Here is a 27,170-nt window from a genome sequence, read left to right on the forward strand (position 1 = left end):
TTGAAAGGAATAGTGTTGAATCTGTAGATTGTTTTGGGCAGTATGGCAATTTAACAATGTACAAAATCAGTAGCATTTGTATACATCAATAAGGTTCAAGCTGAGAGTCAAATCAAAAATGGAATCCCATTTACAATAGCCACCGAAAAAAAAATAACTAGGAATACATATAATCAAGGAGGCGAAAGGGAGAATATACAACATCTCTACAGGGAGAACTATAAAGCACTTCTGAAAGAAATCATAGATAACACAAACAAATGAAAAATTCCATGTCTGTGGATTGGAAGAATCAGCTCACTTTCTAACCAAGTGTGGTTTAAGGCTCTTGGAAAGCTGTTTTGCTTCATTTCTTTTTGTTTTGTTTTAAGATCTAGCTTTTGATTACTTTGGGAATATGATTCCTCAAAAATTTAGTAGATTTCTAATCTATTTTCTTCTAGCCAGTTCTATATGCTAGTAACTATACCCACATTTCTTCATTTCCTTCGCAGATGAAATTCTTGTGCTTATTTATTCCTTCTTTTTTCCATGTCTGTCTTCCTCAACTGTGGCTTCTTTGACACTCTTTGGAAAAATAAACGTAGGTGGGATGACATTAAAACTTAATCTAATCTTAAGTGCAAACCTGAGTTTTAATGAACTTTTGTCTCTCAAAATTATTCTCGATTTTATCTCTTTCTATTTAAAAGTAATTGAGTTTCCCAACTCTGCAGATTTTTGGTTTCCCTCTATTCTCTTGCATTTATGTTTACAAAAGAGCCCATTTTCTTTGTTTTTAAAATACCTTTATTGACACAGAATTTACATACCATGAAATTCACCCTTTTGACGTGTACACTCAATAGTCCTTAGTAGGTTCACAGTTATACAATTATCACCACTAATTTCAGAATCTTTTAATCACTCCTCCAAACAACTCCATACTGACAAGTTGTTAATCCTCATTCCCCTGCCCCTAGACCCCTAGAAATCACTAGTCTACTTTCTGGTTCTATAAATTTGCCTATTCTGGACATTTCATATAAATAATATTATACAATATGTGGTCCTTTGTATCTGGCTTCTTTAACTTAGCATAATATTTTAAATACTGATTTTTGTTGTAGCGTGTATTAGTATTTCATTCCTTTTAATTGCCATATTTATGTCCATGAGTACCCAATGTTTAGCTTCCATTCATAAGTGAGAACATGTAGTATTTGGTTTTATGTTCTCACATTAATTTGTTTAGGATAATGGCCTCCAGCTTCATTCATGTTGCTGCAAAGGACATGATTTCTTTCTTTTTCATGGCTATGTAGCTTTCCATGATGTATATGTAATTGTATGTATTCAATTGTAACTTTTTAATTTACTTGTAACTTTGTACCCATTTAATTATTATTTAATCATAATTAAATTGTATTACTTGTATTGTATTATTATAATACAATTAATTGTATTATTTAATTATAAATAAAAATTATAATTCATTATATTTATTTAATTGTAACTTTATACCCGTTTAACTGTAACTTTGTACCCACTAACTAACCTCTCCCCATCCTTCCCTCCCTCCCCTACACACTCCCCAATCCCTGACAACCACTGTTCTACCCTCCACCTTCATGAAAGCAACTTTTTTAGCTCCAACATATGAAGGAGAACATACAATATTTGCCTTTCTGTGTCTTACTTATTTCATTTAACATAATGTTCTGTAGGTTCATCCATGTTGTCACAAATAAGATTTTATTCTTTTCATTGCTGAATAGTGTTCTACTGTGTATATAAACCATATTTTCCTTATCCATTCATCTGTTACTGAACACTTAGGTGGATTCCATTTCTTGGCTATTGTGCAAAGTGCTGTGATAAACAGGGGAGTGCAAATATCTTTTTGATATACTAATTTCGTCTCTTTTGGGTATACACCCTGTAGTGGGTTTGCAAGATCATATATTACTTCTATTTCTAACTTTTGAGGAAACTTCATACTGGTTTCCGCAATGGCTGTACAGGTGGTATTAGGTTTTCTGTTTCTGATTTTGTTGGCTTAGCATAATGGCCTCCAGTTTGATCCACTTTGCTACAAAAGACATGATCTAATTTTTTTATAGCTGTGTAGAATTCATGGCGTATATTTATCACATTTTTAAAATCCACTCTACTATTGATGGGCTTTTGGGTTGATTCTATGCCTTTGCTATAGTGAACACGGCTGCGATAAATATACACATGCATGTGTCTTTATGGTAGAATGATTTATATTCCTTTGGGTATATACCCAATAGTGAGACTGCTGGGTCAAATAATAGTTCTGTTTTAATGATGATGTACTGCTGCTAATAGACTACTATCAAATGAGTAGTAATGATATGTCAGAAATTGTGTCAACTGAATTCCTGATATTAATTCCATTTTATGCCTAAGATAAGTTAGTGATATAAATATTATTTTCCACATTTTAAAATGAAGAGATTAAAATTCTGATTGATTTGTTCTTCAAATCAATCAAACACTAATTAAGGAAAATAAAAGGGGTTTAAAATGATATAAAAATAATCATTGTTATGGCCCAAAATTCAGATAACAATAATTGTGAAATCCTGGTCCTGGGGATCAGAGAAAGGTAGAACAAAATCCAAATAATCATATAATATTACTAATAAAGCAGATTCTAAAAGAAACAAAAGATCCATTCACAAATATATATGCATAGATACTTTATTCAGGGAGTGAAAGATAAATGACAATTGCAAAGGTGGTAGAAGCTCATGACCAGGTGACAGACAGACACAGAACACATCAACAGAATTGTCTGATGGTTCCCAGGGAGAGAGCTGCTGCTCTTTCTTCCGAAGCTCTGGGAGCTGGCACAGCTGAGGACTTCCTTTTCTTAGCTCCACCTGGACAGTGGCAGTATGGCAGCCTCAGAAAGGGAATCTTTTGCTGTCACAGATCATCACAGGCAGGCCACAGGTTAAGGAGAAAGAAGCTCCCTGTGCATCCATGGAAGGCTTTGGTGAGAAGATGCAAGTGGAGCTGTGGAACGAGGTGAGCCAATTATCCTTATCCTCTCATGCTCCTGATGAATCCTGAAGCTGTTACTTGCTCTTGGGTGGACACTTTGGCTGGCAGGGTGGGGAAGGTGTCACAGGAGGATATTTCTGCTGGCACTGCTGAGGTGGGCAGGGCTGTGGACACTTTGGTGATGGGCAGGGCTCAGGGCACTTCGGGGGTGGACATGGCTCTGGGCACTTTGGCGTGGGGCACACAGGAGGTGGCTGGCAGGGCTGCTTGCACTGCTGCTGTTGATAAGACATCCTGCTGGAGTCTCAGGATCTGAAAGAAATGATACAACAGTGTTTGTGGGAAGGGACTCCTCCAGAGAGAGAAGCTAATGCTTATGTAATACCATGAAATATTATTTCCCCATCTCCAAGAAATTATTTAAACTCTTAACTGCCTTTTCAAGACTACTTCGTTTCTCCCTTCCACTTTAGCAAATTGCTTCATTGGCCCTGGGAAATCTTGTGTTTTCTCATACAATTTTTCCAAAGAAAATATCTCTGTAGTAATGAACCAAGCATGTTATTTCTGTGAAAATAACATCTTTAGGAAAGGCAGTGACAAGTTCAGATACCATGAGCAATCTCACAAGCCATTTCTCTTATCATTATCTGTAGTAAAGTCCCAGTGGGTTGACTTGAGCACAGAACAAAGGGCTGTTTGGGAAGGATTGCAGGCTCTTGGCACCTGTTAAGACACAAACCTTTGAAAAAGACACCAGGAAAACATGGGGAAAAAATACTTTGTTCTTTTTTCTTCTTCAATTCAAAGCTTTCCTATTAACTTCTCTGTCCGTATGGACACCTAACTGTATACAAGAAACAAGCTAAAATAGCATATCACTGTACTCTAAATCTAAATTTCCATCTACTAAGTAGAATCAAACCCATGGTTACAGAATTGTATCAACCAAACTTGCTGTTTTCAGATTAAATTCAATATTTCAGGTCACAAAGAACTGAGGAACTCAAGGACTCACACTCACCAGGTTCTCCAAAGCAGATCGGTGCTAGAGTACCAGGAGTTTAAGAGTTGTGCAGCAGGGAACCTCTTTATAGGACGTTCTGCCCCACCCAGTGGGAAGTGGAACTGCCTAAAACTGGGCTGGTCCAGCAATGTCCAAAGTAAAATGCAAATGTATCCATATCTGGCATGAGAGGCATTCTCAAACTAGGAAATATCCTGTTCTGGGATCTCCCCACTGGGTTAAGTGCTCATGAGTCACAGAGAACCTGCCTTAGATCTCAGTTTCAGTGACTTTCGTCAGAGAGATAATTGGAGGGATTCTCTAACCGGTTGTCAAGGGCTCTCTTTCTTGATTGGGAACAATGATCCCTTCCTATCTTACCTCCCCTGAGTCATAAAACTTCCTGTCCTGATCCACTCTAGCTGAATGCCATATTGTTGTACATGAACCCAACTCTACCTCTACTTTCCTCATACAGTTGGCCAATGTGCTAGAAGGAAGGAGAGACTTAACAAAGGCCTGAGCTAAGCTTTTTCTTTGCTAAGTTCCATGACAACAGGCATGTCACCTCTCCTCCCTGGGATTATAAACAGGGGACAATAATACTTACCTCTGGGTTTGCAGGCTGACCACATTGTGCTATCTGCTGACCCTGTTCAAGACTGAAATTTTCTTTGCCACCTTTTTCTCAGATAAAACCTCAGATTTTTACCTATATTCCTTTCCTCTTTGAAGCTGTCTTCTGCACCACATTTGTAGCTTCTGCACCACATTCGTAGAGGCACTTGCATCCCAGGACAGATTTGAGAGTGAGATCTAGTCTCCACAGCACGTTTGCTACTTGGTGCCATCAAGGATGTGTACTACAGCCTTTTTATTTATAAAAAGTAATGGAGAGAAGGAAACTAAAGTTACAAGTATTGACTCAAAATCTATGTATGGAACCATGCATATATGGTTCCCTGTGAACATCCTATAGAGAACAAGCTGCATAGACATTATCATATGTAAATAATTAGAAGTAGGTGTGCAGAGTGAGGAAGGTAAGAGCACTTAAAGTTTAACTCAAGGGGAAAATACAAACAAAGGGTAATCCAATATGTATTCTTCCTCTCTATTTCCAAACAGGTTTTAGATGTTTCTCAGTGTTTTTTAATTTGTTTGCATGTTCTTCCTTTGTCTTTTCCATAAACCTTCTAGTCCCACAAACTGCTAGATTATCAACTCATACCCAATGTATACCTGTCATCTGTCCATTTTGGTACATATTGTTCACTTAACACATATGTTGTCAATGCATTTAGTGATTGTCCTTTCACAACTTTTTTAAATGCTTCCTACAATCAGTGAGCCTTTCTAAGTACTGTATATTAAACATTTAAAGTGATGTTGCTACTGCTTCCTTATCTGGACCATTAATCGGGAAGCTTCCCAAGAACATGGTTTTATAAGTGAATAAGAAGAAAGGAGAATGAGGAAGAGGAAAGACTCAAAATCACTGGAGCAGTCACCAACTGTGCTCCAGGAAGGGCAGAGTGTTGAATCAAGCCAGCATCACATCCCTCAGTTAAGTAGGTTAGGTTCCCAGAACAGCTGTTGCTCCTGTCAGTAAGGAAGAGCTTTTAGCCAAGATCACCACTGGCCAGGACACTACAGAAATAGAGCCATCATGTCAGCACCCTGAGGCCAGGTGATTACAAATGGTGTTCTCACCAAATGCTTCCTATAGACTATTACACATGCCACGCACTTCACCAGCCAAAGTAAAAGTCCTTTACTCAATAAATCACCCACTACTCCCCAAGAGCCTCACATCACATCTAAAACATAAATCCATAGAGAAATGTCTAATTTCTGCCATGCAAAATTGAAGAATTCGCTGCCAAATGAGATCACTGTGTGAGATAACACAGTTTGGGTCACAACCTGAGACTCCCCTTCTTAGGACACCCCACTCAAACAGGCTGCTTATCACAGCAGTGCAGGCACCAGAGTGGCAGCAGACCTAGTGCCCCCAGCATCTCAGACAGGCTGACTTTACAAGTTGACGTGGAGAACTGGAAACTCAGAGTTCCTCACAGACCAGCTACATGAGGAATGGCCATAACATGAAGAGGGACAGCTAATAGTCACAGTTTCCCCAAGTTAGGACATCCAGGCCCTGAGACATAGAGCGAGGCATACTTCACACACACACACACACACACACACACACACACACACACCCCTCATGGGTCTTTATCATCTATCTTCATGTCTAAAGAGCTTAGCTTTATGTTCTTTAAGAGTCTGATAGCCTTAGGCTCATTCCTAATACTTCTACTTCCTGATTTTCTAGTAGATCATTAAGTATGAATTACTAGTACATAAAAATGACAGGAAAGAACAAAAAATTTATTTGGTCTAATATTTGATGCAACATTTTATCTCATATTTTACTATGATACATTCCACTAAACCAAATAGTGCTAGCAAATGAAGATTTAAAATTAAATATGTAAACAAATAAAGAAACAAGAATCATGGCAAAATATTCTTCTTATGCTCAGAGAAATGGTAACTGTAAGCCCCCATGCATATCTGCCTTCTGCTTTTATTTCTGAATGGAAGGCTTAGTCTCCATTGTCTTTCCATAATTCAATGTATCAGATAAAGATATAGTAGAATTCTGAAGATAATTAAGAAGGATGTTTTGAAAGATTACTTAATATTATTTAAAACATTAAATTTTACTAAAAACTTATGTAAAGGATGATAACATTTTCATTAACATGTATTTGTTAAAAGTTAGGAAATATGTAAAACAACATATTAAATGTGATTATATTTGGCTGGTATAATTACAGATGATGTTTATTTTCTTGTTTTACTTTTCAAAATATTCTCCGAATGTTACCTATTATTGAGTGAGGAATCCTAAAATTCTAATTTGAAAAGCTGACAAGAGACAACCCTGTCCATTGTCCAATTAGTGAGAAAACGGTCTTCCTTCTTTCCAGCATTTTTGGCCAGACACTAAAGGTGGGGCTGGATGTAAGTAGCAGTTGTTTTATTGTGATAGCTCTACATCTGATCACATCACTACTAAAATCTGTCTTGAAGAAAACCCCAATAATAATCCCCATCCTCATAGCATTCACACACACACACAGAAGCCACAGACACTCCATAGCCATATGTATCTATGAAACAGCTCACCAAAATTAGGAGATCATACTAGGTTAAAAAAATCGGAATGAGTTTGTCTACTATCCAGGAGCCACGTGGATAGAAAGCATAAATTGGCCATAATATGATGAAATTGGAAGAAATGGGCGATCAGTAGGACAGGTAGTAACTATAATAGAACATAGTGATAATAATAGTACCTACCACTAATTGTCATGAGAAAACAACTAAAGCAGAGACTGCATTTAAAGTACTTAGCACAGGCTACAGATAGTGCTCAAAATGCTAAAGTAACACATTGTTAACGAAAGAGATAGAGACAAGATATCGAGTTCGAGTTGTTTATGGTTGAGAAAGTTATTTGCTTCACCTTTAAGATCTTTTATATTATCTTATTGAAGTGTGTGCCAGAAGTTTTTAGGACAAAACAAATGCAAATATATGATTTAAATGAAGTGTGCAGAAACAATAAGATGGGATGATTTTGACACTTATCCTATGTGATGAAAATGAGAGTTAACCTAAGCAGAAATTTACAGCAAAGGACAGAAACCAGATGCTTTAATTGTTCCTTGATGTTTGGACTCTCTAAGACTTTCCTCTGAATTCAGTTAATATAAGAAAATAAATCTAAATACAAAAAATAGCAGTATGTGGATTTGTTCATGTGTAAAAACAAATAGCACTTATAAAGATTCAGCATTCTGTGTGAAAAAAATATACAATGTTACCTCCAATTTAGTTTGCTGTTACTGTAGTTAGCTGTTTAGGATAATAAAGAAATCACTCATTTAAATATCACATTCCTTCTGGTGGCAAATTACCTAAATTTTAGGCTAAATCATTATAAGAAACTGAATAGCTCATCAGTATTAACCTTCTCAAAGTGAATAGACCCTATATATTCTACTTTTATTTTCTCTATATGTTAGATCAGTATATTTAAGAGCATAATTTCAAGAGCTATTAGTAATATAAAGTAATCCCGTATGCTTAGTGTTAAAATGAGAATGAGAAGGATATGTGGTAAATAATGGAATGAATCAGACACCTCTTTTTGTAAGAATCTTTTCAAGACAGTGAATGTGCATAGGCCGTGGTTTCCCTCCAGAAAAGTTAAAAAGGAAAACGAAGAAACACGGACAAAATTGTGAAAACATTTGCAGAGAAAAAACTGTTTGAACTCTAACATATAAGACAAGAGACCTGAATTCTGCTGCAAGTGGGAGAAAGGCTAAATAAAATATAAACATTATGAGAAAAGTCGACACTAATTCACAATCTTAAAGAGATAAACATAATTTTGTTATATGAGTCAACAAAAGCACATTCAAAAATTGATCTAACAGATTTCAAAATATGTTGACAAAAAATAACCTGCATTCCAATGATTATAGCAGCTTTATTCATAATCTCCAAGATCTGTGATCTACCAAGATGCCCTTCAACAATTCAATTGATAAACTGTGGTGCATCACACCCAAGCAATGGAATACTATGCAGTGATAACATGGAATGACCTATCAAGACTCACGAAGACATGGCTGAATTTAAAATGCAAGCTGATAAGTAAAAAATAGTCAGTCTCAAAGGCTATATACTGTATGGTTCCATGTATACAAATTCTGAAAAATGCAAAATTACACATCCAAAAAGCACAAAAAACTTCCAGTTAAATTAATTCAATGACACCCACACTGAGACACTTTATAATTAAACTATCAAAAGAGATAATATCAAAAGCAGCAAGAGGCAAGTAAATCATCATATCTAAGGGATTATTAATAAATAGTTGACCAAATTCTTACCAAAAGCCTTTAGGATCAGGAGGCAGCAGGATGATATATTGAAAATAAAGAAAACCTAGAATTCTTTCAACCTAGAATTCTACAGCTGGCAAAATTATCCTTAAAAATGATGGCAAAATTATAACGTTTTTGGAAATCAAAACTTAAGGCAGTTCATTGCCCCTAGATTTTCTGTATGAGAAATGATAAAGAGAGCCTCTGAGGTTGAATAAAAATGCTGGAGAGAAATTTGAAACTGTATGAGAACACAAAAATCTCTGGTAAATGTACACAGATACATAAAAGCCAGCATTATTGTAATTTTAGCTTGTAACTCCACGTTTTATTTTCTACAAGATTTAAAATGCAAATGTGTACAAAATAATTGCAAATCTGTGTTAGTGAACACACAATGTATAAAGATATAATTTGTGAACTCAACATAAAAAGAGGATAGGATTGTGTGAGTCAACTTTTCTTTTTTTTATTTTTTATTAATTTTTTCATTTTTTGAGACAGAGCCTCACTCCATCACCCAGGCTGAAATGCTGTGGCATGATCTTGGCTCACTGCAACCCCCGCTTCCTGGTTTCAAGCGATTCTCGTGCCTCGGAAATTACAGGCAGACGCGTGCCACCACACCCAGCTAATTTTTGTATTTTTAGTAGAGACAGGGTTTCGGCATGTTGGCCAGCTGGGTATGAGTCAACTATTCTATGCTATTGCAGTTACATAGTGTTAATTCAAATTAAATTACTATAACTTTAAAATATTATACATAATCCCAATTGAAATCACATAATAATATTTTCAAGTACACACAAAAGAAAAAAGGCAATAAAATAGTTTTAGTAGAAAAAAATCATAAATCAGAAAGTGTTGAAAGACAAACAATATAGAGAAAAGAGTAAATGCAGAAAGAAGAACTCCCTTATCAGTAAGTACTTTAAATGTGATTGAATTAAACTCTCCCCAACCACACAAACTGGAGAATTGAATCAAAAAGAAAAAAAAAAGATTCAACTGTTTGCTGTTTAAAAGAGACTGACTTTAAAGCTAAAGACACAAAGGAGGTGAAAGTAATAGGAAAGAAAAAGATATTTCATGTAAATTGCCAAAAGAGACCAGACATGGCTACACTAACATTAGACATCATTAACTTTAAGTTGAGAACTGTTATAAAATACTACAAAGATAAAGAGATTTATTCACCAAGAAATTATAGGAGTTATAAACATACACTTACTGAACATCAGAACTCCAAAATATAAAAAGATACAGTGAGAGAAATTAAAAGAAGAAATTAATAGGTCTAAAACATGTTGAAAACTCGAATACTTCCCTCTCAAAAGTGGATAGAATGATAGAAGTTAAAAACAATAGAGGACTTAAATATATAAGCCAATTGGAACAAACAGACAAATATAGAATACTCCAACCAAAAGGAACAGGATACCCCTTACAGTTTTCTCAAGAGAACATGGAAGAACACTCTCCAGGATAGACCACATATTAGTCTAGAAAACAAGTTAATATATTTTAAAAGACTGAAATCATACAAAGTACTTTTCCAATCACAATAAAATGAAATTAAAAACTTATAGCCCAATTAAAACTGGAAATTTCACAAATTTGTAGAAATTAAACAACAAACTCTTAAATGACCAACAGGTCAAAAAAGAAATCACAAAGAAAATTAGAAATTGCTTGGGACTACTGACAACAAAACACATCAAACCAAAACTTATGGTTTTCAGCAAAAGCAGTGCTAACGGGGAAATTTACAGCCAGAACCACATTTTTTTTTTTGTTTTTTTGAGACAGAGTCTTTCTCTATCTCCCAGGCTGGAATGCAGTGGCGTGATCTTGGCTCACTGCAAGCTTTGCCTTCTGGGTTCACGCCATTCTCCTGCCGCAGCCTCCCGAGTAGCTGGGACTATAGGGGCCTGCCACTACGCCTGGCTAATTTTTTGTATTTTTAGCAGAGACGGGGTTTCACCATGTTAGCCAGGATGGTCTCAATTTCCTGACCTCGTGATCCACCCATCTCGGCCTCCCAAAGTGCTGGGATTACAGGCATGAGCCACCGTGCCTGGCCCACATACATTTTTAATGACAGAAAAATATCTCAGATCAATAACCTCATGTTACAGCTTAGGAAACTACAAAAATTAAAGTACACTAAACCCCAGAAAAGTAAATATAAGCCTAGAGTAGAGATACTAATAAAGTACAAGCAAACCATAGAGAAAAATCAATGAAATTAAGTTTTATTTCTTTGAAAAGGTCAATAAAATTGAAAAATCTTTAGACTAACTACAGGGAAAAAGTACGATATAACATTCAAATAGCTAAAATCTAAAAGAAAGTGAGGACGTTACTACTGATTTTACAAAAATAAAAAAATTTTAAGCAGAAACTATGAACAATTCTGTCAGCTTATCAGATAACCAGTTGAACAAACTCTTAGATATACACTATCCACCAAACCAAATCATGAAGAAATAGAAAATTTGAAAAGATATATAATAAGTAAAAAAAATTGAATCTTTAATCTAAAATCTCACAAGAAAGAAGTGTTGACCCAGAAGGATTTACTGGAGAAGTATATGCCAATCCTTTTCAAAATCTTTCAAAAAAGAAAGCTGAAAATAGGGACTACTTCCTGTCTTGTTCCATGAGGCACACGAATACCCGGATACAAAAGCCAGACAAAGACACTACAAGAAATGAAAACTACAGAACAATATTCCTCATGAATATTGATGCAAAAAAGCCTCAAAAACATTTAGCATACCAGATCATTCCTGTGGCCGTAGGTAAGATGGCCAACTGGATGCAGCCAGGTGGAACAGCTGCCACTAAGGGACCGAGATGGCAGGTGCACTTCTAACAGATATTCAGAGGGAAGGCACTGAGAGTGGATGAAGAGAAGATCCAGAAGCTAGGCTGAAAAGAGAGAAAGGTGGGAGCTCTACACAGGGACACTACACACCAAGATTGGTTCCTGGCCTCCAGTGACTCCAGGGGAACAGCTGAGTTGAACCGACAGGGAACAACCCACTCTCGCCATGGGCCTCTGGAATCCCGGCAGGGGGAGACCCCCTTAACCACCAGGGATGCTCCAGTTGGCAGGGAGAGCTGCTTAGGGAAGTGACAGAGGCAGCATGCCAGCTGATGTGGAGCCTAAAGGGTTTGGTAGGGGAGTGTCTGTAATGGAGCAGGGCCAGGGATGGCCATCTCCCTAGGCTCAACTTGCTTGCATAGGAGACTTCAGCCCCTGGGGAACTGTTGGACCTGAACTGTGCAGGGCAATCTTGCCCTTCAGATGGGGCCAGTCTGACCTGAGCACCCCCTGGTCAGCTGGTCTCTCCTGGGGTGCCAGCCTGGCTGTACCTGCTTGCAGGGCAAACTCGGGTGACCTTGGGACTCCATCATAGCCTCTGTGCTGGCAGATCACAGCTGACAAGTGGAGAACTCCAGCGGGGCAGCCACCCACAGTCACCTACCAGCCCATCTGCTCACTCCACACATTGCAGCTTCCCCTGGGCCCAGAGCAACACTCCATGTCACTTTGCTAGCATGTGTGTTCATGAATGGGTTTTGCTTTCCTCTCCTCACCAGTACATGTGAGTGTGTGCATCCTGCCCTGCCACTGCTGCAGTGAGAGTATGGTCAGCCCATTATCCCTGGCAATGACCATTGCAGTCACAGAGCCATGGCAAGCACAGAGCCAGGAAGCCCCACCCCTGCCAGTGCACCACCCATGCCAGTGTATACCCTTGTGCCAACACTGCCGTGGGAGTGAAACTAGGCACTGAAAACAGTGGAAACTCCTGCATCCCAAACAACCACCCCTGCCCATGGCACAGAGAGAAAGCACACAGACCTGCACCAGCCAGCACCCCATCCACACACCAACAACACTACAAGTGTCACCACACACACACAGTCACCAGCAGGGACCCTGTACCCTGCCAAGAAACATTGCCTCCACCACTGTGGTGAATGTCCCCACAGAGGCAAGTAGCCTAGCACCTGCAAGAACCCTGCTCCAGCCTAAAAGTATGCACCCTGCCATGCTGCCTCTGCTCCTGGCACATACAAACAAGAATGGACCCCGCTGCCACCACACTACAAAACACTTTGGCTGACACCACTCATCACAGTGTAGTGACCAGGGATCAGGGAGCACCTCAGCCTCCTAACCTGGGGGAGCCAAAGAACAAAGTCAAGCCTGATATAGTTCCCCCAGAGTTACAGCATGCAGTCCAGGAGTTGGGAGCTGAGTGTTGGGACCCCAAAATCTTTCACAAATGAAGCCAGTCATCTGAATTGACCTTACACCACAATCAAAACCTCAAGGTTATCAAATGAGATTAAAAAAATAAAACCCATCCAAACATCACCAACTTCAAAGATTGAAGGAATATAAGACACAAAGATAAGAAAGAAGCAACGCAAGAACTCTGAAAACTCAAAATGCCAGAGTGCCTTCTTTCCTCCAAATGACCACACGACCTCTCCAGCCAGGGCTCAGAACTGGGCTGAGATGGCCGAAATGCTAGAAATGGAATTCAAAATATGGATAGGAAGGAAGATCAATAAGATGCAGGAGTGTTCTGAAACCCAATCCAAGAAAGCTGAGAATCACCATAAACAACGCAGGAGCTGACAGACAAAATAGCCAGTATAGAAAAGAACATAACTGACCTGATAGAGCTAAGAAACACACTAGAAACTATACATTTTGTAGAGTGTTTCTCAGCTCTATCAGGTCGGTTATGTTCTAATGCAATCACGAGTATTAGTAATAGAGTAGACCAAGCAGAGAAAAGAATCCCAGAGTTTGAAGACTAACTTTTTGAAATAAGACAGTCAGCCAAGAATAGAGAAAAAAGAATTAAAAGAAATGAACAAAACCTAAAAAAATGGTATTTTCTAAAGAAACAAAATCTGTGACTCATTGGTGTCCCTGAAAGAGATAAGGAGAGTGTAACCAGCTTGAAAATATATTTCAGGATATCATCCATGAGAACTTCCCCAACCTAGCTAGACAGACAGACATAAAATTCAGAAAATGCAAAGAACCCTTGTAAGATACTACAGAAGAACATCATCCCCAAGATACATAATCATCAGATTTTTCAAGGTTGAATGAAAGAAAAAGTCTTAAAAGCAGCTAGAAAGAAAGGTCACGTCACCTACATAGGGAAACCCAGAAGACTAAGAGCAGACCTCTCTGCAGAAATCACACAAGCCAGAAGAGATTGGGAGCCAGTATTCAACACACTTAAAGAAAGGAAATTGCTACCTAGAATTTCAATTCTAGCCCAACTAAACTTCAAAAGTGAAGGAGAAATAAGATACTTTTCAGACAAGCAAATGCTGAAGGAATGTGTTACCATAAGACCTACCTTACTAGAGCTCCTGAAGGAAGAGCTAAATATAAAAAGGAAAGACTATTATCAGCCACTACAAAAACACACGTCAGTGCACAGAACAGTAACGCTATAAAGCAACCACATACATAAGTTTGCAAAATAACCAGCTAACTTCATGATGACAGGATCAAATCCACATATTTCATTAGACCATAATCAAGAAGATCTTTGAAACTAATGAGAATAAAGATACAACATACCAGAATCTCTGGAACACAGCTAAAGCAGTGTTAAGAGGGAAATTTATAGCACAAAATGCTCACATCAAAAAGTTAGAAAGGTCTCAATTTAACAACGTGACATCACAACTAAAAGAACTAGAGAATCAAGAGAAAACTAACCCCAAAGCAAGGAGAAAATAAGAAATACCTAAAATCAGAGCTGAACTGAAGGACACTGGGACATGAAAAATCATTCAAAAGATCAACAAATCCAGGAGGTGGGTTTTTTAAATTAATGAAATAAATAGACTGCTAACTAGACTAATAAAGAGGAAAAGAGAGAAAATCTAGGTAAACACATTTAGAAATGACAAAGGAGATATTACCACTGACCCCAGAGAAATACAAATAACCATAAGAGAATATTATGAACACCTCTATGCACATAAGCTAGAAAATCTAGAAGAAACAAATACGTTGTTGGACACATACACCCTCCCAAGCCTGAGCCAGAAAGAATTTGAATCCCTGAAAGGACCAGTAATGAGCTCCAATATTGAAACAGTAATAAATAGCCTACCAACAAAAATAAGCCCAGGACAAGACAAATGCACAGCTGAATTCGACCAGATATACAAACAAGAGCTAGTATCTGCTCTTGTTTTCTGCCAAACAAATATTCCTGCTAAAATTATTCCACAATATTGAGGAGGATGAACTCCTCCCCAACTCATTCTATGAGGCCAGCATTATCCTGATACCAAAACCTGACAGGGACACACACACACACACACACACACACACACACACACACACACACAAACCATCAGGTCAATATCCTTAATTAACATCAATGCAAAAATTCTCAACAAAATACTGGCAAACCAAATCCAGCAGCACATCAAAAAGCTTACCCACCACCATCAGGTTGGCTTTATCCCTGAGATGTAAGATTGGTTCAACAATAAACAAATCAATAAGTGCAATTCATCACATAAACAGAACTAAAGGCAAAAATCATATGATTGTCTCAATAGATGCAGAAAAGGCTATCCATAAAATTCAACATACTTTAATGTTAAAAACTCTCTATGAACTAGATACAAAAGAAACTTACCTCAAAATAATACAAGCCATCTATGAAAAACCCACAACCAATATCATACTGAATGGTGAAAAGCTGGAAGCATTGCCCTTGAATACCAAAACAAGACAATTATGCTCTCTTTCACCACTCTTATTCAATATAGTATGGGAAGTCCTGGACACAGCAATCAGGGAAGACAAAGAGAGAAAGGGCATCAAAATAGGAAGACAGAAAGTCAAACTACTGTGTTTACACACAACATGATTCTGTATCTAAAAAAACCCCCATAGTCTCAAAACAAAAGCTCTTTCAGCTGATAACTTCAGCAATGTTTCAGGATTCAAAATCAATGCACAAAAATTACTAGCACTCCTATACACCAACAAAAGACAAGCCAAGAGCCAATTAACAAACACAATCCCATTCACAATAGTGGCAAAAAGAATAAAATACCTAGGAATACAGCTAACCAGGGAGGTGAAAGATCTCTACATGGAAAGCTACGAAACATTGCTGAACAATATCAGAGATGACACAAATGTAGGGAGCACACTCCGTGCTCATAAATAGGAAGAATCAATATCATTAAGATGACCATATTGCCCAATTTACAGATTCAATGTGATTCCTATCAAACCACCAAAGACATTCTTCACAGAACTAGAAAAAAAACTATCCTAAAATTCATATAGAACCAAAACTGAGCCCAAATAGCCAAGGCAATCCCTAAGCAAAAAGAAAAAAACTAGAGGCATCACACTACCTGATTTCAAACTATACTACAAGTCTACAGTAACCAAAACAGCATGGCACTGGTACAAAAACAGACACACACTGATGCAACAGAATAGGGAAGCCAGAAATAAAGCATCACACCTGTAACTATCTGATCATCTAAAAAGGTGACAAAAACAAACAATGGGGAAAGGACTCCCTATTCAATAAATGGTGCTGGGATAACTGGCTAGCCATATGCAGAAGATTGAAACTGGATGCCTTCCTTACACCATATATAAAAATCAACTCAAGATGGATTAAAGACTAAAACGTAGAACCCATAACCATAAAAACTTTGAAAGACAACCTAGGCAATACCATTCTGGACATAGAGACAGGCAAAGATTTCATGAATAAGATGCCAAAAGCAATTGCAACAAAAACAAAAATTGGCAAGTAGGATCTAATTAAACTAAAGAGCTTCTACAAAGCAAAGGAAACCGTCAAAAGAGTAAACAGACAACCTATAGAATGGGAGAAAATTGTTGCAAACTATGCATATTATAAAGGTGTAATATCTAGCATCTATAAGGAATTTAAAGAAATCCACAAGAAAAAAAACAGCCCTATTAAAAAGTGGGAAAAGGACAGGAACAGACGCTTTAAAAAGAACACATATGTGTGGTACACAAGCATATTAAAAAAGCCCAATATCACTGATCATTACAGAAATGCAGATCAAAACCACAATGAGAGACAGTCTCACCCCAGTCAGATGGCTATTAAAAGGTCAAAAATAAAGGTGCTAGCAAGGTTGTATAGAAAAAGGAATGTTTATACACTGCTTGTAGGAATGTAAATTAGATCAACTATTGAAGAAAACAGTGTGGCAATTACTCAAAGAACTAAAAACAGAACCACCATTTCAACCAGCAATCCCATTACTTGGCATATACCCAAAGGATTATAAACCATTCTATATCATAAAGACACATGCGTGTGTTAAGTTCATTGCAGCACCATTCATAATAGTGAAGACATGGAATAAAACTAAGTGCCCATCAATGATAGACTAGATAAAGAAGATATGGTACATATACACCATGGAATACAGGTACATAGGTGGAGCTGGAGGCCATTATCCTTAGCAAACTAATGCAGGAACAGAAATTCAAATACTGCATGTTCTCACTTATAAGTGTGAGTTACATGATGAGAAAACATGGACACCTTAAAGAGAACAGCAGACACTGGCACCTACCACAGGGTATGGAGAAGGAGAGGATCAGGAAAAATAACTAATGGGTGCTACGATTAAACCCTGCGACATGAGCTTGCTTATATAACAAACCTGCACATGTGCCCCTGAACTTAAAATAAAAGATAAAAAAAGCTACGCTGAAGAGGGTGTAAAGAAAAAAGAAGCCTTGTGTACTCTTGGTGGGAATGTAAATTAGTACAATTGCTATGCAAAACAGTAAGAAGATTTCTCAAAAAACTAAAAGCAGAACTACTATTCAATCCAGCAATCCAGCTGCTGTGTATCTATCCAAAGGAAATCAGTACGCAAAAAGGATGCCTGAACTCCCACGGTTATTGCAGTACTGTTCACAACAGAAAAGATGTGTAAGCTAAGTGTCCATTAATGAATGAATGAATAAAGAAAATATGTATATACACACAATGAAATACTAGTCCATTGTAATAAAATGAATGAAATCCTGTCATTGGCAGCAACACAGATGGAACTGGAGGTCATTATGTTAAGTAAAATAAATCAAGCAGAGAAAGACAAATATTGCATGTTCTCACTCATATGTAGGAGCTACAAATGATGATCTATAAAGGTAGAGAGTAGAATGAGAGATACCAGAGGCAAGGAAGGGTGTTCAGGGGGATGGGGAATGAAGAAATACTGGTTAACGAGTAAAAACATATGGATACATAAAATGAGTAAGTTTTAATATTTGATAGCAGAGGAAGGTGACTACGGTATACAACAATGTACTGTGTTCTTCAAAATAGCTAGAATTAAAATGTTCCCAATAAAGAACAATGATAAATGCTGCAGGGGATGAATGCCCTAAATTTCCTGATATCCTGACTTGATCATTACACATTCTATTCATGTAAAAAATCACATGTATGCAGTAAATGTGTACAAGTATTATGAATCAATACAAATAACATTAGAGAGTCTTCTTATTTCCTATGTTAGTTACACCCAAGCCACTCTCTTGCTGGAACAAATATGGTAGTGGTTGTAGTGGGGAGTGATGATGATGAGGAGGAGGAGGAGGAGGATGGTGATGGTGAAAACAATGATAATATGTTGCTGCGAATACAACTCTATCAAATGACAGCTAATTACGTGTCAGGCATTGTGCCAACCAAATATCAGATAGTAATCAAATTTTATGCCTTAGACTAGTTTGTAATGTAAATGTTATTTTGCTCACTTTGCAGTAAAGAGAAGTTGTCAATTCAGAGAAGTTGAATAATATCCTCCTCAAATCAATCAAATGCTAATTAGGGAAAATAAAAGGGGTTTAAAATGATACAGAAATAATCTTTGGTATGACTCCAATTGTGAGATCCTGCTGTGAATCAAAGAAAGATTGAAATAAATCCAAAAGATTACATACTATTGCTAATAAAGCAGATTTGAAAATAAACAAAAGATCCATTCACAAATATATATGCATAGATACTTTATTCAGGGAGTGAAAGATAAGTGACAATTGCAAAGGTGGTAGAAGCTCGTGACCAGGTGACAGACAGACACAGAACACATCAACAGAATTCTCTGATGGTTCCCAGGGAGAGAGCTGCTGCTCTTTCTTCCGAAGCTCTGGGAGCTGGCACAGCCCAGGACTTCCTTTGCTCAGTCTCCACCTGGACAGTGGCAGTATGGCAGCCTCAGAAAAGAAACTTTTTGCTGTCAGGGATCATCATGGGCAGATTACTGGCTAAGGAGAAAGAAGCTCCCTGTGTATCCATGGTAGGCTTTGATGAGAAGATGAAGGTGGAGCTGTGGAACGAGGTGAGCCAAATATCCTTATCCTTTCTTGGTCCTGATGAATTCTGAAGCTGTTACTTGCTCTTCGGTGGATACTTTGACTGGCAGGGTGGGGAAGGTGTCACAGGAGGATATTTCTGCTGGCACTGCTGAGGTGGGCAGGGCTGTGGACACTTTGGTGGTGGGCAGGGCTCAGGGCACTTCGGGGGTGGACATGGCTCTGGGCACTTTGGCGTGGGGCACACAGGAGGTGGCTGGCAGGGCTGCTTGCACTGCTGCTGTTGATAAGACATCCTGCTGGAGTCTCAGGATCTGAAAGAAATGATACAACAGTGTTCGTGGGAAGGGAATCCTCCAGAGAGAGAAGCCAAAGCTTGTGTAATACCATGGCATATTATTTCTCCAATCTCCAAGAAATTATTTAAATTCTTAATTACCTTTTCAAGACTTTCTGGTTTCTCCCTTCCACTTTAACAAATTGCTTCATTGTCCCTAGGAAATCCTGTGTTTTCTCATACAATTTTTCCAAATAAATTATCTCTGTTATAAAGAATCAAGCATCTTATTTCCCTGAAAATAACCAATTCAAGAAAGGCAGTCACAAGTTCAGACACCCTGGGCAATCTAATATGCTATTCCTATCATCATTATCTGTTATAAAGTCCAAGTGGGCTGACTTGGGCATAGAGCAAAGGGCTGCTCAGGGAGAATTGTAGTCTTTCACACCTGCTAAGACACAAACCTTTGTAAAGGACACTAGAAAGACAGAGAATAAAGAAAAATACTTTGTTCTTTTTTCTTCTTCATATCAAAGGTTACCCCTTAACTTCTCTGTCCATATGGATACCTACCTGTATAACAAAAGAAAGCTAAAATAGCATATAATTGTGCTCTAATCTTAAATTTTCATCCACTAAGTAGCATCAAGTCAATTTTCATAGGATTGGATCCACCAAACTTGCCATATTCAGATTAAACTCAACATTTCAGGGCACAAAGAACAGAGGAACTCAAGGAAGCCGACTCACCAGGTTCTCCAAGGCAGATCAGTGCTCAGGTACCAGGGGTTTAAGAGTCGTGCAGCAGAGGATCTCTTTATAGAGCCTGCTACCCCACCCAGCAGGAAGTGAAACTACCCAAAACAATGCTGATCCAGTAATTTCTTAAGCCAGATGCAAATTTATCCATGACTGGCATGAGCAGGATACTCAAAATAGGAAATATCCTGTTCTGAAATCTCTCCTCTGGGTTAAGCTCTCCTGACTCACAGAAGCCATGCCTTGGATCTCAGTTTCAGTGACTTATGGCAAAGAGGGACTTGGGGGAATCTCTAACTGATGGTCAAGGGATCTCTTTCTTAATTGGGAACAAAGATATTTTCCTGTCTTACACCTTCCCTAAATCATAAAACTTCTGCCCTCATTCACTTTACCTGAATGCCTTATTGTTGTACATGAACTCAACTGTACCTCTACTTTCCTCATGCAATTTGCCAATGTGCTAGGAGGAAGGGGAGACCTAACAAAGGCCTGAGTTCTAGCTCAAGCCTTTTCTTTGCTCTGTTGTATGACCACAGGCAAGTCACTTCTCCTCCACGGAACTGTAAACAGGGAGAATAATACTTACCCCTGAGTTTGCAGGCATTGACCGCATTGTGCCACCTGATGACCCTGTTCGAGCTTGAAATTTTTTCTTCTACCTCTTTCTTTCTCTCATAAAACCCCAGATTTTACCTGTATTATCTTCCTCTTTAAAACTGTCTTCTCTAATCCATTTGTAGAGGCATTTGTCTCCCAGGATAGATTCCAAAGTGAGATCGAGTCTCCCTAGCACGTTTTCTACTTGCTGCCCTTAGGGATGTGTACTATAACTTTTTATTTATAAAAATGTACTCTTGGACACCACCTTAAGGAAGTAGAGAGAATGGAACCAAAGTTGCAAGCATTCACTCAAAATCTATGTATTGAAACTTGCCTATGTTCAATACATTTTACATACATTTTTAGTATAATTTGAATATTTTAAATATTACATAATCTCCCAAAACATTCTGTAGTGTCCTGTGAATATCCTATAGAGAACAAGCTGCATAGACTCATGTTATCATATGTAAATAATTAGAAGTAGGTTTGCAGAGTGCAGAAGTTCAGAGCACTTAAAGTCTGAAATCTAGAGGAAAATAAAAGCTAAGTGTAATCCAATATGTATTCTTGCTCTCTATTTCCAAACAGGTTTTAGGTGTTTGAAAGACAGTGTTTTAAAATTTGTTTGTATGTTCTTCCTTTGTTTTTTCCGTAGACCCTCTAGTCCCACAGTCTGCTGGATTATCAACTCACACCCCAATGTACACCTCTCATCTGTCCATTTTGGTACATATTGTTCACTTAACACATATGTTGTCAATGCATTTAGTGATTGTTCTTTCACATCTTTTTTAAGCTCTTTTACAATCATAAGGTTTTCTAAATATTGTATATTAAGCATTTAAAGTGATATTGCTAGAGCTTCCTTATCTGGACCATTAATCAGGAAGCTTTCCAAGAATGTGGTTTTGTAAGTAGATAAGAAGAAAGGGGAATGAGGAAGAGGAAAGACAAAATCATCAGAGCAGTCACCAGCTATGCTCCAGGAAGAACATGTGTTGAATGAACCCAGCATCACATCCCTCAGTTAAGCAGGTTAGGTACCCAGAACTGCTATTTCTCCTGTCAGTAAGGAAGGGCTTTTGGCTAAGATCATCACTGGCCAGGACACTACAGAAATAGAGCCAACATATCAGAACCTTGAGGCCAGGTGTTTACAAATGGTGTTCTCACCAAGTGTTTCCTATAGACTATTACACATGTCAAGCACTTCACTGGGCAAAGTAAAGGGCCTTTACTCAATAGGTCCCCTACTACTCCCCAACAGCCTCACATCACATCTAAAACACAAATCCTTAAAGAAATATCTGATTTGTGCCATGCAAAATTGAAGAATTTGCTGCCAGATGAGATCACTGTGTGAGATAACACAGTCTGAGTCACACCCTGCGACACCCCTTCTGAGAACACCGCATTCCAACAGGAGGCTTATCACACCAGTGCAGGCACTAGAATGGCAGCAGCCCTAGTGCCCCCCGCATCTCAGACAGGCTCACTTTACAAGTTGAGGTGGTGAACTTGAAACTCAGAGTTCCACACAGAGCAGCCACATGAGGAACGGCCACAATATGAAGAGGGGCAGCTAACAGTCACAGCTTCCCCAAGTTAGGACATCCAGGCCTTGATACATGGAGCGAGGCATACTTCACACATGCACACACACACACACATACACACGCACTCCATGGGTCTTTATTTATCTATCATCTATCTTCATGTCTAAAGAGCTTAGCTTTATGTTTCTTAACAGTCTGATAGCCTTAGATTCATTCCTATTATTTCTACTTCCTAATTTTGTAAGGGATCATTAAGTACGAATTATTAGTTCATAAAAATGACAGGAAAGAACAAAAACTTTTATTTGGTGTAATATTTGATTCAACATTTTATCTCACATTTTACTATGATACATTCTGCTATACAAAATAGTGCTGGCAAGTGAAGATTTAAAATAAAATATGAAAAAACAAAGAAACAGGAATTGTTGCAAAATATTCTTGATATGTTAAGAGAAATGGTAACTACCAGTCCCCATGCATATCTGCCTTCTGCTTTTATTTCTGAATAGCAGGCTTAGTCTCCATTGTCCTTCCATAATTCGATGAATTAGATAAACATATGGTAGAATTCTGAAAGTAATTAAGAAGAATGTTTTGGGAGATTATGTAATATTATTTAAAATATTCAAATTATACTAAAAAATGTATGTAAAGCATGATAACATTTTCATTAAAAGATGGGAAACATAAAACAACATACTAAATGTGATTATATATGGCTGGTATAATTACAGATGATGTTTATGTTCTTATTTAACTTTTCAAAGTATGCTTCAAATGTTACCTATTATTGAGTAAGGAATCTTAAAATTCTACTTTGAAAAGCTAACAAGAGACAAGCCTGTCCATTGCTCAGTTAGTGAGATAGTGGGTTTTTTGGGTTTTTTTTAAGCATTATTGGCTAGACACTAAAGGTGGGGCAGGATGTAAGTAGCAGTAGTTTTATTGTAATAGCTCTACATTTGATCACATCCCTTCTAAAATCTCTCTCGAAGAAAACTCCAATAATAATCCCCCTTCCTCAGAGTATTGACATATACACACAGATGTTTACAAATGGTGTTCTCTCCAAATGTGAGAATCGTAGTAACCACAGACACCCAATAGCTGTATGTGTCTGTGAAATCATTCACCAAAATTGGGAGATCATTCTAGGATAACAAAATCAGGAATGAGTTTGTCTACTATCCAAGAGCCAGGTGGATAGAAAGCATAAATTGGCCATAATATGATGAAATTGGAAGAGATGGATGATTAGCAGGACAGGTAGTAAGGATAGTAGAACGTGGTGATAATAATAGTAACTACCACTAAATTGTCATGAGAAAACAATTAAATCAGAGACTGCATATAAATACTTAGCACAGGCTACAGATAGTGCTCAAAATGCTAAAGTAACACATTGTTAATGAAAGAAATAGAGACAAAATATCAATTTCAAGTTGTTTATGGTTAAGAAAGATACTTGCTTTCTCTTTAAGATCTTTTATATTATCCTTATTTTAACTGTGTGCCAGAAGTTTTTAGGACAAAGCAAATGCAAATATATTATTTGAATGAAGTGGGCAGAAATAATAAGATGGGCTGATCCTGACGTTTATTCTTATGTGATAAAAATGAGAGTTAATCTAAGCAGAAATTTAGATCAGTTCCTAGTTGTTCGTACTCTCTAAGACTTTCCTCTGAATTCAGTTAATACAAGAAAATAAATCTAAATACAGTAAATAGCAATATGTGGATGTGTTCATTTGTAAAATATTAACATACATAGATATTTAGCATTCCATGTGAAAATATATATAATGTTACCTCCAATTTAGTTTACTGTTATGTGGTTAGCTGTTTAGGACATTAATAAAAAACACTCATTCAAATATCACATTTCTTCTGGTGGCAAATTACCTAAATTTTAGGCTAAATCCTTATAAGAAACTGAATAGCTCATTAGCACTAACCTTCCCAAAGTGAATAGACCTTATAGATTCTACTGTTATTTTCTCTATATGTTAGATCAGAATATTTAAGAGCATAATTTCAAGAGCTATTAGTAATGTAAAGTACTCCTGTTGCTTAATGTTAATGAGATTAAGAAGGACATATGGTAAATGATAGAATGAATCAGACACTTCTCCTCATAAGAATCTTTTCAAGATAGTGAATGTGCATAGGCTGTGGTTTCCTTCCAAAAAAAGTCAAAAAGGAAAATAAGGAAACACGAACAAAATTGTGAAAAATTTTGAAGAGGAAAAAAACTGTTTGAAATCTAATATGGGGAGAGCTGAAATTCTACTGTAAGTTAGAAATATATGAAATAAAACATAAACATTATTAGAACAATCAAAACTAACAGTCTTACAGAGATAAACACAATTTTACAATATGATCCAGCAAATTTTGATCTAGTACATTTCAAAATATTTCAACAAAAAATAACCTGCATTCAAATGATTGCAGCAGCTTTATTCATAAATTCCAAGAAGCGTGATCTACCAAGATGCCCTTCAATAAATGAATCGATAAACCACGGTGGATTATACCCATGCAGTGGAACACTATGCAGTGATAACATGGAATGATCTATCAAGAAATACAAAGATATGAATGAATTTTAAATGCAAACTGGTAAGTTTAAAAAAAGTCAGTCTCAAAGGCTACACACTGTTTCTAAAATGGTTCCATTTATATGATTTCTGTAAAATGCAAAATTACACATCCAAAAAGCACAACAAACTCCAAGTTCAATGAATTCAATGACACCCACACTGAGACACATTATAATTAAATTATCAAAAGAGAGAATCTTGAAAGCAGGAAGAAGGAAGTAAATCATCATATCTAAGGGATCCTTAATAAGTAGTTGACCAAATTCTTATCAGAAGTAGTTTTCTGAATAAGTAATTTTCAATATATCATCCTACTGCCTCCTGATCTCCAAGGCAGTGGAATTCTATGTTGATAGTGATTTCTTTCAACGCTGTAGAATTCTAGAAAGAAACCACTTTCAACCTAAAATTGTACAGCCGGCAAAATTTCCTTAAAAGTGAGGGCAAACTTATGACATTTCCAGAAATCAAAACTTGAGGCAGTTCATTGCTCCTAGATTTTCTGTATGAGAAATGATACAGAGAGCCTCTCAGGTTGAAATAAAAGGATGCTGGGCCAGGCGCGGTGGCTCACACCTGTAATCCCAGCACGTTGAGAGGTCGAGGTGGGCGGATCACAAGGTCAGGAGTTCGAGAGCAGCCTGACCAACATGGTGAAACCCCATCTGTACTAAAAATACAAAAATTAGCTGGGTGTGGTGGTGTGTGCCTATAATCCCAGCTACTTAGGAGGCTGAGGCAGGAGAATTGCTTGAACCCAGGAGGTGGAGGTTGCAGTGAGCCGAGATCGCACCACTGCACTCCAGCCTGGGCAACAGAGAGAGACACTGTCTCACAAAAAAAAAGGATGCTGGAGAGAAACTGTATGAAGATATAAAGGTATCTGATAGACATGCACAGGTACATAAAAGCCAGCATTATTGTAATTTTAGCTTGTAACTCCACTTTTTATTTTCTACAAGATTTAAAATGCAAATGTATACAATACAATTACAAATATATGTTAGTGAACATACAGTGTATAAAGATGTAATTTGTGAACTCAACATAAAAAGAAGATGGGGTGGTTGTATGAGTTAATTTTTCTATGCAGTTGGAATTGTTGGTGTTAATGCTAATTAGATTAGTATAACTTTAAGATATTATATACAGTCTTCACTGTAACCACAAAATAAATATTTTAGAATACACACGACAGAAAAAAGACAATTTAAAAAGTTTTACTATTAAAAAAAACTAAACACAAATCAGGCACTAATGAAAGATAACATAGAGAAAAGAGTAAATGCAAAAAGAGGACCTACCTCATGAGTTATTATTTTAACTGTAAGTGAATTAAACTTTCCCCAGCAACAGAAATTGAAAGCATGGATCTTAAATTAAAAAATTGATTCAACTATTTGCTGTTTACAAGAGACTAACTTTACAACTAAAGACACAAAGAGGTTGAAAGTAATGTATGGAAAAAGATATTTTATGTAAATAGTAGCCACAAGAGACCAGAGGTGGTTACAATAACATGAGACACAATTAAGTTGAGTACTGTTACATGAGACTATAAAGGACATATATATTGATAAAGAGATTTATTCACTCAGAAAACATAGAAGTTATAAACATACATTTCCTAACATCAGAACTCTAAAACATATGAAGATACATTGAGAGAAATTAAAAGAAATTGATAGTTCTATAATAAATATTGAAAACTTAAATACTTCACTTTCAAAAATGGCTAGAATAATAGAAGTTCAAAAAGAAAATAGATGACTTAAAAATATAAACCAATTAGTCCAAACAGAAAAATACACAACCCTGTACCCACCAACAGCAGGATATACCCTACAATTTTCTCAGGAGAACATGGAACACCCTCCAGGATAGACCACATATTAGGCTAGAAAATAAGTTAATATATTTTAAAAGACTAAAATCATACAAAGTACTTTTCCAATCACTTT

The 27,170-nt window shown here is 37.2% G+C and overlaps 2 protein-coding genes across 3 annotated transcripts; both read right to left on the reverse strand.

Moving 5' to 3' along the window:
* Positions 1–2,693: 2,693 nt before the first annotated feature.
* On the reverse strand, positions 2,694–4,082 carry SPRR2D (small proline rich protein 2D). 2 transcript variants are annotated; one of them, NM_006945.5, is made up of 2 exons: positions 4,040–4,082; positions 2,694–3,327 (listed from the first exon to the last, which is right to left on the reverse strand). In NM_006945.5, the coding sequence occupies exon 2, from the start codon at positions 3,306–3,308 to the stop codon at positions 3,090–3,092; it is 219 nt and encodes a 72-aa protein (NP_008876.3). In that variant the 5' UTR covers positions 3,309–3,327; positions 4,040–4,082; the 3' UTR covers positions 2,694–3,089. The 2 variants fall into 2 exon arrangements, with proteins under 2 accessions (NP_008876.3, NP_001369177.1); NM_001382248.1 differs by having other exon boundaries at positions 4,034–4,082.
* A 14,999-nt stretch (positions 4,083–19,081) lies between these two features.
* On the reverse strand, positions 19,082–20,474 carry SPRR2A (small proline rich protein 2A). The gene is made up of 2 exons (NM_005988.3): positions 20,433–20,474; positions 19,082–19,716 (listed from the first exon to the last, which is right to left on the reverse strand). The coding sequence occupies exon 2, from the start codon at positions 19,695–19,697 to the stop codon at positions 19,479–19,481; it is 219 nt and encodes a 72-aa protein (NP_005979.1). The 5' UTR covers positions 19,698–19,716; positions 20,433–20,474; the 3' UTR covers positions 19,082–19,478.
* Between the last annotated feature and the right edge of the window lie 6,696 nt (positions 20,475–27,170).

The sequence above is a fragment of the Homo sapiens genome, chromosome 1, assembly GCF_000001405.40.
Source record: "Homo sapiens chromosome 1, GRCh38.p14 Primary Assembly".
In the NCBI taxonomy this organism is placed as follows: Eukaryota; Metazoa; Chordata; class Mammalia; order Primates; family Hominidae; genus Homo; species Homo sapiens.

Bases quoted from the DNA above. Each gene is read 5' to 3' on its own strand.
- SPRR2D (NM_006945.5), bottom strand. From the start codon at position 3,308: ATGTCTTATCAACAGCAGCAGTGCAAGCAGCCCTGCCAGCCACCTCCT.
- SPRR2A (NM_005988.3), bottom strand. From the start codon at position 19,697: ATGTCTTATCAACAGCAGCAGTGCAAGCAGCCCTGCCAGCCACCTCCT.